The sequence below is a fragment of the Homo sapiens genome, chromosome 2, assembly GCF_000001405.40.
Source record: "Homo sapiens chromosome 2, GRCh38.p14 Primary Assembly".
Classification (NCBI taxonomy): domain Eukaryota; kingdom Metazoa; phylum Chordata; class Mammalia; order Primates; family Hominidae; genus Homo; species Homo sapiens.
The window spans coordinates 191,670,957-191,687,042 of NC_000002.12; the positions used below are offsets into that span (position 1 = coordinate 191,670,957).

Sequence of the window (16,086 nt, forward strand, 5' to 3'; positions counted from 1 at the left end):
AGTCCCAGTGCTGGCATGTAGTAGTAGTTCAATAAAATTTTGTTGAATAAATTAATGAATTATGTTTAATGCATATATACAAAGGGAAAATGGAGTGCAAATCTCTTTTGAAATTCCTAAAATGTAATTTGATAATACATACCAGAAGTCTTAAATATATACTTAATAATTTCACTCCTAGAAATATATCAATGCAGGATTTCCCTAACTAATATAAAGGAAACATTGCTCCAGCATATTAATAGGTATTTGGAAAACAAAGAAAATTATTTAAAAAAAAATCTTAGCCTGGTTTTCAGACTTGGTTGCACATTGTCATTACTTAGGGAGTTTTGGAGTTTTAAAATATGTTGATGACTGCCCAAAATCTCCTTAAGCTGATAAGCAACTTCAGCAAAGTCTCAGGATACAAAATCGATGTGCAAAAATCACAAGCATTCTTATACACCAATAACAGACAAACAGAGAGCCAAATCATGAGTGAACTCCCATTCACAATTGCTTCAAAGAGAATAAAATACCTAGGAATCCAACTTACAAGGGATGTGAAGGACCTCTTCAAGGAGAACTACAAACCACTGCTCAATGAAATAAAAGAGGATACAAACAAATGGAAGAGCATTCCATGCTCATGGATAGGAAGAATCAATATCTTGAAAATGGCCATACTGCTCAAGGTAATTTATAGATTCAGTGCCATCCCCATCAAGCTACCAATGTCTTTCTTCACAGAATTGGAAAAAACTACTTTAAAGTTCATATGGAACCAAAAAAGAGCCTGCATTGCCAAGTCAATCCTAAGCCAAAAGAACAAAGCTGGAGGCATCACGCTACCTGATTTCAAACTATACTACAAGGCTACAGTAACCAAAACAGCATGGTACTGGTACCAAAACAGAGATATAGATCAGTGGAACAGAACAGAGCCCTCAGAAATAATACCACACATCTACAACTATCTGATCTGCGTCAAACCTGACAAAAACAAGAAATGGGGAAAGGATTCCCTATTTAACAAATGGTGCTGGGAAAACTGGCTAGCCATATGTAGAAAGCTGAAACTGGATCCCTTCCTTACACCTTATACAAAAATTAATTCAAGATGGATTAAAGACTTAAACGTTAGACCTAAAACCATAAAAACCCTAGAAGAAAACCTAGGCAATACCATTCAGGACATAGGGATGGGCAAGGACTTCATGTCTAAAACACCAAAAGCAACGGCAACAAAAGCCAAAATTGACAAATGGGATCTAATTAAACTAAAGAGCTTCTGCACAGCAAAAGAAACTACCATCAGAGTGAACAGGCAACCTACAGAATGGGAGAAAATTTTTGCAATCTACTCATCTGACAAAGGGCTAATATCCAGAACCTACAAAGAACTCAAACAAATTTACAAGAAAAAAACAACCCCATCAAGTGGGCGAAGGATATGAACAGACATTTCTCAAAAGAAGACATTTATGCAGTCAACAGACACATGAAAAAATGCTCATCATCACTGGCCATCAGAAAAATGCAAATCAAAACCACAATGAGATACCATCTCACACCAGTTAGAATGGCGATCATTAAAAAGTCAGGAAACAACAGGTGCTGGAGAGGATGTGGAGAAATAGAAACACTTTTACACTGTTGGTGGGACTGTAAACTGGTTCAACCATGGTGGAAGTCAGTGTGGCGATTCCTCAGGGATCTAGAACTAGAAATGCCATTTGACCCAGCCATCCCATTACTGGGTATACACCCAAAGGATTATAAGTCATGTTGCTATAAAGACACATGCACACGTTATGTTCATTGAGGTACTATTCACAATAGCAAAGACTTGGAACCAACTAAAATGTCCAACAATGATAGACTGGATTGAGAAAATGTGGCACATATACACCATGGAATACTATGCAGCCATAAAAAAAGATGAGTTCATGTCCTTTGTAGGGACATGGGTGAAGCTGGAAACCATCATTCTCAGCAAACTATTGCAAGGACAAAAAAACAAACCGCATGTTCTCACTCATGGGTGGGAACTGAACAATGAGGACACTTGGACACAGGAAGGGGGACATCACACATCAGGGCCTGTTGTGGGGTTGGGGGAGTGGGGAGGGATAGCAGTAGGAGGTATACCTAATGTAAATGACGAGTTAATGGGTGCAGCACACCAACATGGCACATGTATACATATAACTAATCTGCATGTTGTGCACATGTACCCTAGAACTTAAAGTATAATAAAAAAAAAATATATATATATATATATAAAATAAAATAAAATAAAATATGTTGATGACTGAGTCCTACCTTGGGAGATATTGATTTAATTGTTTTGGACTGGTTGTCTCTCTTTTTGTGATATTAGCAGCCTTTGGTGAAGTTACTGAGATCCATTAGTTCATTAGGGGCTCTAGGTGGTAATCTTGTTAACATCTCTGGGCTTGTATTTTTTTCATACACAATGTGAAAGGGTTAGCGTACATTACCTGTAAGCATCCTTCCCACTGGGATATGCTGTGCTCCTATGGGTAATACTCTTAATTAGGGGTTTGTTTGAAAGCATTTACTCTTTCTTCCTGGTGATTTACTGGCGTATGTTTGTGTGCATGTATGTGAGCTTGATAATGCTCCAAAATAAGAAAAGGCATCCATCTTTATTATAGAGAAACCACAATAGTAAATCAGAATTCTAGAAAGAGACACCAAGCCTTCTACTCCAACATGTCAGGCATGATATTAGTCTCCTATACATACTGTCACATACTCCTTGTAGGGCCTGTTAAGGAACAGGGCTCTGCAACTGGGCCAGCTGGATTTTTAAAAACTGTTATTTATTTATTCATTTTATACATAGGACATGGGGAAACATCAGAAAACAGTAGCAAGCAACTCTTTTTGAAGCATTTTGGCACCGTATGTTGTCCCATCAGTCTTCAATTAGTTCATTTGCTAATAATATTTTCTTAATCTGAATAAACAATAAATCCAGGTACCTATTTGAGGTATGATACATTTGAAAAGCTTTTTAGAACACAGAAGCCAAAGTTGTTCACTCTATCATTAAATATCATTAAAAAGATGCTGGGCACAGTGGCTCATGCCTGTAATACCAGAACGTTGGGAGTCCAAGGCAGGAGGATTGCTTGAGCCCAGGAGTTTGAGACCAGCCTGGGCAACACGGTGAGACCTGGTCTCTACTAAAAAATAAAAATAATCAGCCAGGTGTGGTGGCATGTGCCTGCAGTCTCAGCTATATGGGAGGCTGAGGCAGGAGGACTGCTTGAGCCTGGGAAATCGAGGCTGTAGTGAATTGTGATTGCACCTCTGCATTCCAGCCTGGATGACAAGACCCTGTCTAAAATAATAATAATAATAATAAAAAAGATAATGTAGCTGAGTTGAATTAACCCATTTAGGGATGCATTTTTTCCCAAGGGAAACTACAGGGTCATTCCTCACAAGTAGATTTCACTATCCCCACGCAATCAGATTTGGGGGATCAGATAACATATTAACTGCACTTATCACTGTGAATTACAAAGCCTTCGAAAAATGCAATTACCCATTTAGATAAACAAAGACATGCACTTTTTGGGGCAAATAACCTTTTTTTGTAGAAAAAGTTATTACATGTAACAGGCAGTTATTTTGAAATGCAAGCTTCATAACTTACTATAAAATGAGATCAATCACTTCACATAAGTAACACATCAAAAAGTGTAAATCAGACCATGTCTGGTGGCTCATGCCTGTAATCCCAGCACTTTGGGTGACTGAGACGGGAGGATCGCATGAGCTCAGGAGTTTGAGACCAGCCTGAGCAACACAGTGTGATTCCATCTCTACACAAAATAAAACAATTAGCTAAGGCGTGGTGGTGCACACCTGTAGTCCCAGCTACTTGGGAGGCTGAACCTGGAGGATCACTTTAGCAGAGGAGTTCCAGATTACAGTGAGCTATGGTGCAGCCACTGCATCCAGCCCGGGTGGGTGACAGAGTGAGACCTTGTCTCCAATACAAAAACAAAACCCAAAATAGTGTAAAGTGCTTATAAGTGTAAAATGCCTGGCCCATAGCAAGTGCTCAGTGTATTTGCATTTATCACTATAGGGATGATTTGTGTGGCTGTTGCTGCAATCATTACTAAACATTACTTCTGAGTCTTTTGGTTAAATTGTTTTAGGGAAATTAAGAAAATACTATTTGTTTGAGTTTTTTTTTTTTGTTTTTTTAGTTGCCAATTATGTTACAAAGTGGATTATACCTGTAAGGTGAGTGAGCACACTGTGGTTCTTGTTAATTTTTTAAATTGTTAAGTTTCACTATACAAGATATTTAAAATCAAACAGTACTTGGTACAAACAACTGTTTCATTGATGTTGTAATAGTTTTAAATAGATGGATAGTGAAAACAAAGTGAAAATAATTTTGGTAATTCCAGAAACCAAAACCTGGGAGTGAGCATGGGTACTGAGTGCTGGGTAAAATTTACAACAAAACCTTTATCAATGAGGACCCAGATAACAGAACCTTCTATGTCCAGGATTCTAATGGATGCCCTTCTGTATTACAGTGGATCTCACTAAGCATCTTTACACTAAAACATGGTGTTGAGGTTCTGGATGTAAAGTGGAAGAGTCCATCATCTCAGAGTAAGCTTATGTTTAGGCTGTGAAAAATGAAGGCTTGAAGAACAACAGCCTTAGAGAAAAGAAGACCATGAAGTAATCTTGTGTATGTATTAAAGAATCAGCAATATAATCATTATGACCTAAATGAGTAGACTGAGTGGCAGATCTATTTCACTGAATGGTAATATAAGAAAAGATATCTGCCTAGCAATAATTGTCTCCTTGACATCTCCTTTTTCTTTTTATTAACCACATCTTTGGGAGTGATTTAGAGGTAGCTGAAACCAACTAGCCTGGGCTGAACAGTTTCTGTATTGCCCAGACCATCTTGTTTCTCAAGGCTGCCTTTCGTTTTGGTTAATGAGAAAGCATATGGTTGCCATTTCCTTTCTGAGAACTGCTGAGTTAGTAGGGAAGGAAGTAGATGTTCAGCTGAGTTCTGTCCTGTGGGGGAAGGGAAGGGCTGAGCCACAGCTTGGAGTACCAGCTTCTGCTTTTGTGGGGCTTGATTTTCTGTGTCTGATTTCTTTTTATAAAATGTTCATATAATTAGCCTGAACAGCCCAACCTAATCCCTTTTCTGGGGGCAAATGATTGAGAGTTGAGTGGCAAACTTTCTTTGCCCAAACTCTTGGCCGTAACTCTTAACATTCTTAATTGGTTTCCTGTCTATTCTTAATCTTTTGAAGATCTTGTCAAACCTTAAAAAAAAAAAAAAAGAGCTCTGCCTTAAATATTGCTTCTGTGAGAATATTTTGCCTGTTTAAGAAAATACAGCTTTGAGTACAATCCAATTGAAGTGTCAAGTCCTGCCAGATAACCATGGTAGAATTAGAGCTTCTGAGCTGGATTGGGATTGAGGTTGGACGCTGGCTCTGCCATTAACTGGCATGTTTCATCATTTGTTTTATTTGATGTTGAAATTATGCTTATAATTTTATTTTACACCACTTTCCAGTATGACATCAGTGTCTTTGGCACCTTGGGCTTTATTAGTTCATGAAATGGAAGCTTCTGTTTCCTTAAAAATGCCTTGACTCTCTTGCTAATGTTGTGATAATGTTTCCAACTCTTTCTAGGGCTATAATATCTATGCTGCTTGTTTGCAAATACTTGGGAAGTGGTGGTTGATCTAAAGATACTCAGAAAGAATGGGGAGAAAATTAAGGCTTCTGACACTTTTCCCAACATTTCTGTTATCATCACCAAGAATTAACTAGATGATTCTTTAATGCCCCACTACTTTATTCTGCTATTTTATTTCTTCAGTCTGTTTTTGACTCTTATAATGACACCACTGGAAGTTAAGTCTAAACATTACCTTTAGGCTGGAGAGCTCTGGGGTCAAGATTGACTAGATTTAAAACCCAGCTCAGCCATTCTCTAGCTATCTGGTCTCTGGTGAGTTCCATCGCCTGTAAAACGGGGATTAAAAAGGGGAAAATACTGAGTATGTACTATTTGCTAGGCACTAGTTGGACAATTTATGATCCATTTAATCAATCTTCTGCTAGGCAGGGATCCCCATTTTATTATGGTTAAAAAGCTGTAATAAAAGCCAATTGACCTAAAGCTCTCACAAGTAAATAGCTGGAGCCCAGGTTTGTCTCTAAAGCACATGCTCTTTTCACTACGCGACATAAAAAAAACTTTATTAATCTTTTTTTCCAGATTATGTTTCAAGGGTTCCCACTGCTGTTGAATAATTAATTCCTTTTAGATGTACAAAAGCAAGTGCAAAGTAAAAGAAGAAAAGCTAAATGGGGAAGGTGTGTAATATGAGAGGCAGGGGGTAAGGAAAAATGAGAAGTCTGCAAAGGAATTTACGTCCTATCTGCTTAGCATTACACAGTGGAAGCCCACGTCAGACATTTGTGTTGCAGTCCTGCCTGCTCAGGGGTTGCTGGGTGACCTTCTGCAAATTACCTCATCTTTCTGGGTTTCAATTTAAGTATGCCTGAAATGAGGCGGTTGAATTGATCTCCAAATTCCCTTCTGGTGCTAAACTTCCAGCCTTGTAGCCACTGACGCCTTCACCATCCCAGCCTGTTTTCCCTTGGTACCGGACCAGCTGCCCTTGCCCGAACCCTGTTCTTCCTCGACTGCGAACTTTCTAACGTACTCACAGGTTCTAAACTCTACCGTTCCTCGTGACCGAGGGACTAAAGGGCCCGGGCAGGGGCTCAACTCTGAGAGAAAAAAAGGCAAGAAAACTCCAAAGTTGGACAGCAAGCGTCAAAAGACTGCACAGCAGGAAGGCGAAACCGAACAGAACTGCTGCTGCGCGGCGACAGCTGAAGTGGGTGGAGAACGGGAGGGCGGGGGAGGCGGGGCCGAGAGCGATTGGAAGGACGAGGGGGCGGAGCCCGCGCTGACAGCCCCCGGGGAGGAGCGAGGGAAGCTCTGCGGGCTGCGGCGGCCGGGTCCCGCCCCTTTGCTTCCCCTCCCCAGCACCAGGCGGGCGTGGCAGCAGGCGTGCCGACGCAGCGTGACTTCACAAGGGGAGGGGCGGGCCGAGGGTCCTGCCGGCGCGCGGGCGTGTTCATCAGTCGCTGTTTGGGACGCTGGGTGTGCGGTGTTCTGTCTCCGCTCCCGTTTCGCTGTCACAGCCCGTTCCTTCCCGGAGCCCGGGACAGGCTGGGCGCGCGCCCGTGTGAGTGAGCGGGACTCAGGGCAGAAGTGTCCCCTCACTGCGTTTTTTTTTCCTTTTATCCAAAGAACGGGGCAGTTAGTACGCTTGCCTTCCTGTCGCCCGGTTGGGAGCGGGGTTGGTGTGCGGAGTGGTTCGCCTTTTTTTCTTTAGAACTTGTGAGCCTTTTTTTTTTTTTTTTTTTTTTTTCTTTTTTTAGGCTCAGTGCTGTCCGGGCTGGTTTGCCCGGTCCCTGACTAACGGCTTTCTGCCCCTTCTCTCGCCACCCCTGCCCAAGGTCGCCCCTCTGCCTTCGCCCCTGTCCCGGGAGGGTGGGAAGCTTTGACCCCGCCCTGCCCACTCGCGTCTCCGCAGCCGTAGCCGCGCCTGTCCCAATATGAATAGGGTCAACGACCCACTTATTTTTATAAGAGATATTAAGCCCGGACTGAAAAACTTAAATGTCGTCTTTATTGTCCTGGAGATAGGTAAGTGGGGTTTGCAGCCTACTCCACCGCCCGCTGTGCCTCCCGGGGCGGGAGACAGGGGCGCCGGCCGCTGCGCGCCCGGGGCTCCCCTCCTCCTCCCTCCCCTCCCCCACCCACGTGGCTCTAGTGGCCTCCGCCCGAGATCGGATCCTACCTGAGGCGGGAGCCCTGGGCTTGGTCACTTCCCACCTTCCAGATGTATTAAAATACCGGAGGAGGAGTTAGCCTTTCTGGATGTCCTCATTATCTAACAACCCCTCCCTTTGATTTTTAAATCCTCACAGGACGCGTGACCAAAACCAAAGACGGCCATGAAGTGAGATCGTGCAAAGTAGCAGATAAAACGGGCAGCATCACTATTTCCGTGTGGGATGAGATCGGAGGTCTTATACAGCCAGGGGATATTATTCGGTTGACCAGAGGGTAGGTGTGCAAAAAAGTCGGGGGACCTAACAGTCTGCAGAATCGGGATTGGCCGGCTCCTGGGATCTTGGCAAGCCCTGAAGTCCCCCGCCTTTTCTGTGGGCCACTCTTGAGGAGTTTTGAACTCCTTTGGTGTTAACTTTGGGTGGTGGGCAGCGCTGGGATGTAACAGACCTTTGCAGTGAAAGGCAGTCGGTTTCAGCTGGGAAATCCGCGCCTCTACCCCGGTTTACAGGTTAAGTAGATTTTTAATTATTATTATTTTTTGGGACCGAGTCTCGCTCTGTCGCCAAGCTGGAGTGCAGTGGCGTGATCTCTCCTCACTGCAGCCTCCGCCTCGCGGGTTCAAGAGATTCTCGTGCCTCAGCCTCCCAAGTAGCTGGGACTACAGGCGTGTGCCACCACGCCCAGCTAAGTTTTGTATTTTTAGCAGAGACGGGGTTTCAGAGTGTTGCCCAGGCTGGTCTCCAACTCCTGACCTCAAGTGATCCGCGCGCCCCAACCTCCCAAAGTGCTGGGATTACAGGCGTGAGCCACCACGCCCGGCATAGATTTTTAGTTCTATTCTGAGTCAGTGAGTCTTTTTAGGAGACTGGTATAGTCCATATTTTTTCTTTTTTATAAGTTGTTTTCTCTAGTGTAGTTGCCACTCAGTTGTTTCCCACCCCTTCTCCATTTTTAATGACTTGAAATCCTGGCCAGTATTTTACATATGTTATTTAGAAATGTGGACATAAATGAAAATTATAGGTAAAGGATTTAGCATATTCTGTGATATGTCAAATTTGTACTTGGAAAAAGAGGGAAACTTTACAGTATCTGGAAGGCTCATTCTCCAAAATGATTTCTTGTGTCTTCTGCTGTAAGGTGGATGTTGCGCAAAAACCAAAGGGATACACAGAAAATGTTTGGCAGAAAGGCATCTACAATACCTTCATCCAAAAGAGTCAGTTGGCGGATAGGTGGCTTTAAAAAATACTAGAACTTTTTTTTTAAAAAATAGATTGCTTTTAGAAATTTACCAAATTTTTATCTTAGGAAGATAAAAGGGCAGAAAAGGATCTTAAAAACAGAATTTGGAAGCTTTTGAGATCAATAAAATTGTAATAATTTATCATTAACTGCAGGGAAAGTGGTGGAGATTGATGTTGGCCTAATAAGTAGAATCTTAGAAGTATTGGAAAGCACTGAGAGTAGGAGCTTAGAGCTCCTTGGTGTTACCTTGCAGGCTTACAACATCTTCAGGAAGTGAGGTAAAGTGTCATCAAAGCAGGAAGTGAGAGTCAGGACTTAGACATTTTCTTCTCATACACTGACTCATGACAGTAATTTAAACTTCCACATCTTTAAAAAACAAAAGAGAATTCCTTCTTAGGGAAGTATGGTGAGGATTGATTAGTATAATTGGAGTTTTTGGCTCCCCAAATATTTTTCACCCAATGATTGAAAGTATTTTTTACGCTAAAAACGGCATCTTATTTCAAGTATTTCATGTTCTGTAGTGACAGTCATAGGTGTTTCCATCAAAAAAATTATTGGAAAATTAAACTTATTAGTTAGGTACTATAGAATTTTAAGGGGAACAATTACCTGGGAGTACAATTTAAACGAAAATTAAAAACTATAGAAACTCTATTTACTACTTCAGTATGACCTTGAGAAGTTACTACACCTCATACTTCAGCTTCCTCTTCTGTGAAATGGGAATAATTATACCTTATTTACCAAAACAACACACTCAGCTTGGAGTCTGGCTCATTCTAAGGCCCTTAAATTCTGGTTGAATCTAAGAAAAGTAGCTTTTGAAGAAAAACATACCTAACATCTAAATAATGGTTCAAATATCAACATGTTTATCAGAATACCCTGAAAACTTACCTCAGTGTTCTCATTTCTTAAAGTGAATGTTAAATATTTTAATTGTAACCAAATTTTTTCTCAAAATATGGGTTAATTTTTATTTTAGTAAGGTGAAATGTTAATGCACTGTATCCTAAGCCACTCTTTGTATAACTTAAGAGTGGTGAATGGTGTCTTTAATAAATAACCCTTTAATTAAAGTAAAGAGAACTGTATAGTAAGTTAAAGTCATGAAGTTACCATAGTAGTTGTACAGAGAACCATTGAGAACCAAACCTTGGATTGATTTTATAATATTAATTTACCTTTTTCTTAGATATCTAGGATTATTTTATGTAGTGATGCTGTCTGCTTTCAAAATTGTTCGGAGTAAACATTTGCCAGTTTGTTTACTACAAACCCAGCATGGTATTAAAAATCACATGTTTGGAAAGGCAGATAGGTGAAGCTTTGTGACCTTAGTGTTTTTTTTAGCACTTTGAAATTCTACCAGATCTTCGGTAGCTTAGGAATCCTGTGTCTTTTATGGAGGCAGAAGGAAAACTGTTATATCATTATTTGACTAGACTGTAAATGAAACATTAGGATGATTTTACATATCTTGTGGCTGAAAAATAGTTTCTGTTTAAATTTCTGCAATTAAAAGCTTTTGTTTTGTTAATTGACTAAAGATGTGATCATTGGGTATAATAATACTGGCTTTGCGAAAAGACTTATTTTCCAGAATTTGTTATGATTTAGATAATTATGTCAAAATTCGACAGAATTTTTGTATTCTTTTGTAAATAGCAAGTTATCAAAGTTAGATTTATTGTATTTGATTTACTATGGTGGATAGAGAGGGCTTGATCCTCACTTCTACCTTAATACAAAAAATATATAGTGTGAAGATTTACTTGATTTAAATAGAAGAAAATAAATATATTTCTAAAGAATTAATGTTTCTTTTCTCTCTAGGTATGCATCCATGTGGAAAGGATGTCTGACACTTTATACTGGAAGGGGTGGTGAACTTCAAAAAATTGGGGAGTAAGTATTAAAATGCATTTTGTATAATTGCATATATTATAAATAATATCTACGGAATGATTGGTAGGTATGAATTGTAAACCTCTTTGGCTTTTTTGACTAGTAAACTGAATGTCTTTGGTAGCTTAATTGAAAAAATAACTTCGTGTATACAAATTTAACACTTGTCAGTACTGTTTTCTGTGGTTAAAAGTGTCAATTTTTCCTGGCAAAGAGCAGTAGAAGAAGCTGCAGTTGAGACCAGCCCTAGTGGAAGCATTTCTGTAGGTTTTAGAAATGTGCATTTTTTAGGTGTCACAAGAGCCATTTGAAGTAGATTCTCTTTTGTAGTGATTCACCATATACGAAGCTAGTGATTCACCAAGTTTCAGGCCATAAGTTTAAATTTTCTTTTTCTATGGTTATGGGTGAATATGTACTCATGTTAAAAAGGACTTGCAGCAACGAAAACTGAAGTCCTCTATTTATCCACAGTCTAGGTGCGGTGCAGGCAGCCGCAATGCGAGATTCCATACACTACTACCCTGGTAATGATCTCCACCCTGACCTGGAGGAGCCATCCTCTCTAGGGGTGTAAGGTAATTCAGCCTCCATGTTAGCCTAGACATTGGGTTGTATTCATAAAGTATGGTACAGGCAATGAGCCAAATCATCAGTCCATTCTGTTTGGTTAATGCTCTGCCATCTACTTAATGCCTGTCAAATTGGAAGATATTTAAAAAGAGAAGCCACAAATGGCACCAGATAAAAAAGGAAAACTGTTTGCCACTGAGGGAATAAGATGCTTATTTGGAGAACCTGTGGTTAATAATGAAGGAAAAGAAATGATCATGCTAGCTTTTAAAGATCAGAAACACTTAACGCTTTGCCTTTGTTAGAAGGGAAGTTAGGATTCACTTAGAGTAGCATTAATAGAGTTATGTGTTATGAAAGGTCTTAGTGTCTGTTACTGAAAGGTTCAGGATTCTGTCCTGACCTTCATGTATTCATACAGAGGTGTTGATAATAATGGAGGTCAGTTACGTGAAAAACCGTTAGAGGTCACTCATTTCTTAATGACTGCTCTTTGTCAGGGTCAGTCGAGGATTTACCAAAACTGGTTCTGATTTGTCTTCAGTATGGTGAGGAGTAATAAAATGCTTCTTTGTAATGTTAGTACACATTATATGGTCAACTTACAGGAAGCACTTGGATAAACTGGTGGCTATGTAGCCTGTTGTTATTATTTATTGCCTAGAAACCACTCTTAACCCTAAATGATTATCTTTGCAGATCCACAGTGATCGATCAAAAGAGGGACTGAATGGGAGTGGGTGAATGGATCGGTGCAAATCCATTACCACTGCTGGAGAAACCACCCTGGAACCCTAAACATGGTTCACTCTCATGTTATTTTTCCTTTGATCAGCTTTTGTGGAAAAACAGGACAGAGATGTTTTTGTGTCCTTGATTTTTGATGTGATTTTTTTTTCAGCACTAAAGAAGAATTTAAATACAAAATAGAATGTTATATATCTTGTAGACAGTCAAATATTTGATGTTTTATGGGACATAATCATTTGGGAAGTTTTTGTTGTAAATGAAGAGTTAGTTTGTTGCTATTAATTTGTTTGACACATAAGTTCATTCCTAAAAGTTAGAGATGTTACATAAAGAAGGGTTGAGGACTTTATTTCAGAAGTCATTTAATTTTTTCTTTATTTTCTTTCAGATTTTGTATGGTTTATTCAGAAGTGCCAAATTTCAGTGAACCCAACCCAGATTATCGAGGACAGCAGAACAAAGGGGTAATTGTGTAGTATACTTTTATGATTAGGCTAATTTTGACTGTGTTATAATTCTATGATTAGGCTAGCCCTGTTGATACTTAGTATAAAGAAGATAATTTTTAAAAGGATACTTAATTTTTATTGTATGTTTTGTGAGGATATGTATCTGAGGTGTCATCTACTAGATATATGTGCCATTTTGCACTTTGTGGTGTGCTGAGTAATTATCAGGAAATAGGATGTAACAGAGCTCTGAAAGGTTTGGGAAACGTTTCTTAACATTATAACCTTTAATGACCTAGGAAAAATCTTTAAAAAATTTGTTAATTAAAAAAAAAAAAAAAGCCAAACCCAAAACTTTAAAAAAGAAAGGATATAATAATGTTGTAATAATATAATTGTGTTTTTATTCTCGTTTGGTTAAATTAAAAACTTTTTTTTAGGCACAGAGTGAACAGAAGAATAATTCCATGAATAGTAATATGGGTACAGGTACATTTGGACCAGTGGGTAAGATTTTGTTTGTGTGTTTCATTTGTGATCAGGTATAAGAATGAAGAGAGCTGTAAAGATTCACGTGAAAAGCAACGTCTTTAGGCATAAATTAGTGATAAAGGTGAACTACCAGTAAACAGGGAATCCCCAAAGGGCTGATTTTCTAGAAAGTTGATAAACTTAAGCCAGTTTATTGAGAATTCTAAGTTTTTGTGATGTCCGTGAAGAGATACCATGCTATTTTTTTTTTATTGATTCCTATAAAATTTCTATAATCTAGTGATTACTTATAGTAGATGCAGAATTACTGGTTATTTTGGTGCACTGAAAGCGTTTTATCTTTAGAGTCATAGTTCACCTTAATTTTTCACATACAAGTAGCTGCTGCTTTAAAAGATGAGCTGAGCCGTTTAAAGGCTAGTGACCCTCAGATGTCATTTAACATGACCCCCAGACATCATGTTCATGATCCTTGTAGCTCTGTTAAAGGTCTTCTGAAGTCTTTTTTCTTAAATATATGAGGAAAAGTCAGTCTTTTGTGATTAGAGTTCATTAGGATGGCTCATGTTTTGGTTTTGTTTTGTTTTTGAGACAGGGTCTTACGCTGTTGCCCAGACTGGAGTGCAGTGGCGTGATCTTGGCTCATCGCAACCTCCACCTCGCAGGCTCAAGTGATTCTCCTGCCTCAGCCTCCCAAGTAGCTGGGATTACAGATGTGCACCACTACCACCCAGCTAATTTTTATATTTTTAATAGAGATGGGATTTCACCATATGGGCCAGGCTAGTCTCGAACTCCTGACCTCAAATGATCCACCTGCCTCGGCGTCCTAAAGTGCTGGGATTACATACAGGCGTGAGCCACTGAACCTGGCCAGCTCATGTTTTATTTGACTCGAAGGCTACATGTCTTGGCATTGCTGATCACATTGTGGGAAACGCTGCCTTTGCCTTTAAAAAGTTAGAATAACATTGTCTGTTTTGAGATATTAATCATATTTGAGCCAAATTCCAATATTCACTATTTTGCCCTTTCTTTTTCTTTTATAGTGTAGGCAATGCATTTTTTTACTCTATTAATTTCTAATTTTGATGCCCAAGTTGGCTTTTTTCTCTCTATTAATACAGCATCAAGTTAGCATATTTATAGCAATACATTTGGAAAAACTTAGAGCCCACATTGTTTTTTTTTTCTGTATAAAAATAAAAGTGTGTGCTTTAATATTTTTAAGCATTAATAACATGTTGGCACTTAAGATAGTTCTACTTCTATAGACTACCTCTGAAAATAGTGATGAATTTTTGTATTCTTTTTTAGGAAATGGTGTTCACACTGGCCCTGAATCAAGGGAACACCAGTTTTCACATGCTGGCAGAAGCAATGGCCGGGGACTTATAAATCCACAACTACAAGGAACAGCTAGTAATCAAACAGTGATGACCACAATAAGTAATGGCAGGGACCCTCGGAGAGCCTTTAAAAGATGACCTATGCTAAATACTCATGTGTAGTTTTTATACTACATGCCCTACTTGAACACTTATTGCACTTTTATTTATTGTTAACTGTGAAAAGTACGTCCTTTATTGGGTTTCCTTTTATATTCTTGGTTTGTTAAGAAGAATGGTTTGTTTTTATAGCAAAACTGTTAAGCTGCTCGAGTCTCCTGTTGAAGAATGGGAACACTGAAAAGTAGGGGCATTTATTTTTAGAGTAAAAAGATTATTGGATAGCCTTTAAAAAACCTGCACCCATTTCATGGGTGAGTTACTTAAGACATCAGCTTTATAGCCTCTATGAGTCTATCTTCTGTATAAGTTTTGTAATATTTAACATAAGGCTTAATGGGAGATGTTCTTTTGTCTTGTATTCAGATATTGCCAACTAAAGCAATAACCATCAAAAAACACAAGAACTTGTCAATGCTAGCAGTAATTTTTGAGTGTTTGTGGCTCTCGGAATGATTGACTTCGTTCAGTGACTACTATTAAGATTTTCCAAGGACTGACTCATCCCAAATTTTTGTTGTATTACCAAAAAAACAGATTCCTTATCAGAATTTGGAATAGAATGTGATCTCTATTGCAACAAGTAATTTTAAAAGAAAGCTACATTTATTTTAGAGTAGTGCTCCTAACATGTATTATCAACTTTGTGGATTACATTGGAGGAAAATTTAAAACTGGGGCCTTGAATATTTATTTTTTGAAACTACCATGTTAAATACTGAAGTATAATTTGGGGGAGTTATAAAGTTATGATAAACATTCATCTGATTATTTTAAACAATAGTTGTGGTAGATAAACATACTGGAGGTGAGTCAAATTGAATTCATATAGTAACATGCAGTCTGAAGTCCTAGTTACTTAATAGGTACTCAGCCTGGAGTGAAAATCCTGGGTACTGACTTTGAGAGGAGTGAGTGTGCATGTTGTCAAAGTTTCTGAACACAGTTCACATAGCCTTATTAGCAAAAGTTTTAAGAAATGGCTCTATCAAAGAAGCAATTGCAGCTTTATTCAGAAATATAAAAGTGGAATTTATGTACATGTCATAAGTGGTACCCACTTCCCCTTTTTACTGTAGGGTGGATAACTCTTAGGATTTAACTCTTTGAATATTATCTCTTGAATAAAGCATGTGTTAATGTTAACAAACCTACGTAATTTTTGCCCTTTCAATGACTTACAGTGGAGAGCCAGTACATCTTAACTACTGTTGTAGTGATGGTATCAACCTCATGGTTACTTAGCTCTGCAT

The 16,086-nt window shown here is 39.0% G+C and overlaps 1 protein-coding gene across 7 annotated transcripts, besides 9 other annotated features; it reads left to right on the forward strand.

The window, feature by feature from the left end:
• Positions 4,787 to 5,081: a silencer, noted in NCBI's record as "tiled region #14503; HepG2 Repressive non-DNase unmatched - State 22:ReprW". NCBI's record gives its function as "represses a minimal TATA promoter and a strong SV40 promoter by Sharpr-MPRA in HepG2 cells {active_cell/tissue: HepG2}" and the evidence as "EXISTENCE:reporter gene assay evidence [ECO:0000049][PMID:27701403]".
• Positions 4,787 to 5,138: a biological region, named in NCBI's record as "Sharpr-MPRA regulatory region 14503".
• Positions 5,029 to 5,138: an enhancer, noted in NCBI's record as "active region_16882". NCBI's record gives its function as "activates an Ori minimal core promoter by ATAC-STARR-seq in GM12878 lymphoblastoid cells {active_cell/tissue: GM12878}" and the evidence as "EXISTENCE:reporter gene assay evidence [ECO:0000049][PMID:35858748]".
• Positions 6,732 to 6,811: an enhancer, noted in NCBI's record as "active region_16883". NCBI's record gives its function as "activates an Ori minimal core promoter by ATAC-STARR-seq in GM12878 lymphoblastoid cells {active_cell/tissue: GM12878}" and the evidence as "EXISTENCE:reporter gene assay evidence [ECO:0000049][PMID:35858748]".
• Positions 6,872 to 7,221: a silencer, noted in NCBI's record as "silent region_12196". NCBI's record gives its function as "represses an Ori minimal core promoter by ATAC-STARR-seq in GM12878 lymphoblastoid cells {active_cell/tissue: GM12878}" and the evidence as "EXISTENCE:reporter gene assay evidence [ECO:0000049][PMID:35858748]".
• Positions 6,872 to 7,523: a biological region, named in NCBI's record as "H3K27ac hESC enhancer GRCh37_chr2:192542703-192543205".
• Positions 7,021 to 7,523: an enhancer, noted in NCBI's record as "H3K27ac hESC enhancer chr2:192542703-192543205 (GRCh37/hg19 assembly coordinates)". NCBI's record gives its function as "activates a minimal SCP1, AML or CMV promoter by ChIP-STARR-seq in primed H9 embryonic stem cells {active_cell/tissue: H9 hESC(primed)}" and the evidence as "EXISTENCE:reporter gene assay evidence [ECO:0000049][PMID:30033119]".
• NABP1 (nucleic acid binding protein 1) lies at positions 7,180 to 15,987 on the forward strand. Of its 7 annotated transcripts, none has more exons than NR_045623.3 (7): positions 7,180 to 7,749; positions 8,034 to 8,172; positions 10,990 to 11,061; positions 11,536 to 11,639; positions 12,773 to 12,848; positions 13,274 to 13,340; positions 14,643 to 15,987. NR_045623.3 is itself a non-coding variant. In NM_001031716.5 (6 exons), the coding sequence occupies exons 1-6, from the start codon at positions 7,659 to 7,661 to the stop codon at positions 14,810 to 14,812; spliced, it is 615 nt and encodes a 204-aa protein (NP_001026886.1). In that variant the 5' UTR covers positions 7,180 to 7,658; the 3' UTR covers positions 14,813 to 15,987. The 7 variants fall into 7 exon arrangements, 4 of the variants coding, with proteins under 4 accessions (NP_001026886.1, NP_001241665.1, XP_047301488.1 ...); NR_045622.3 differs by having other exon boundaries at positions 7,180 to 7,285; NM_001031716.5 differs by lacking the exon at positions 11,536 to 11,639.
• Positions 7,822 to 7,881: a silencer, noted in NCBI's record as "silent region_12197". NCBI's record gives its function as "represses an Ori minimal core promoter by ATAC-STARR-seq in GM12878 lymphoblastoid cells {active_cell/tissue: GM12878}" and the evidence as "EXISTENCE:reporter gene assay evidence [ECO:0000049][PMID:35858748]".
• Positions 8,351 to 9,550: an enhancer, noted in NCBI's record as "CDK7 strongly-dependent group 2 enhancer chr2:192544033-192545232 (GRCh37/hg19 assembly coordinates)". NCBI's record gives its function as "activates an origin of replication core promoter dependent on BRD2, BRD4, P300/CBP, MED14 and CDK7 cofactors, with strong dependence on CDK7, by STARR-seq in HCT116 cells {active_cell/tissue: HCT116}" and the evidence as "EXISTENCE:reporter gene assay evidence [ECO:0000049][PMID:35650434]".
• Positions 15,988 to 16,086: the final 99 nt, after the last annotated feature.

Coding starts and splice junctions, on each gene's coding strand:
- NABP1 (NM_001031716.5), top strand. CDS start 7,659: ATGAATAGGGTCAACGACCCACTTATTTTTATAAGAGATATTAAGCCC. Junction 7,750..8,033: donor CTTTATTGTCCTGGAGATAG/GTAAGTGGGGTT, acceptor AAATCCTCACAG/GACGCGTGACCAAAACCAAA. Junction 8,173..10,989: donor ATTATTCGGTTGACCAGAGG/GTAGGTGTGCAA, acceptor TTTTCTCTCTAG/GTATGCATCCATGTGGAAAG.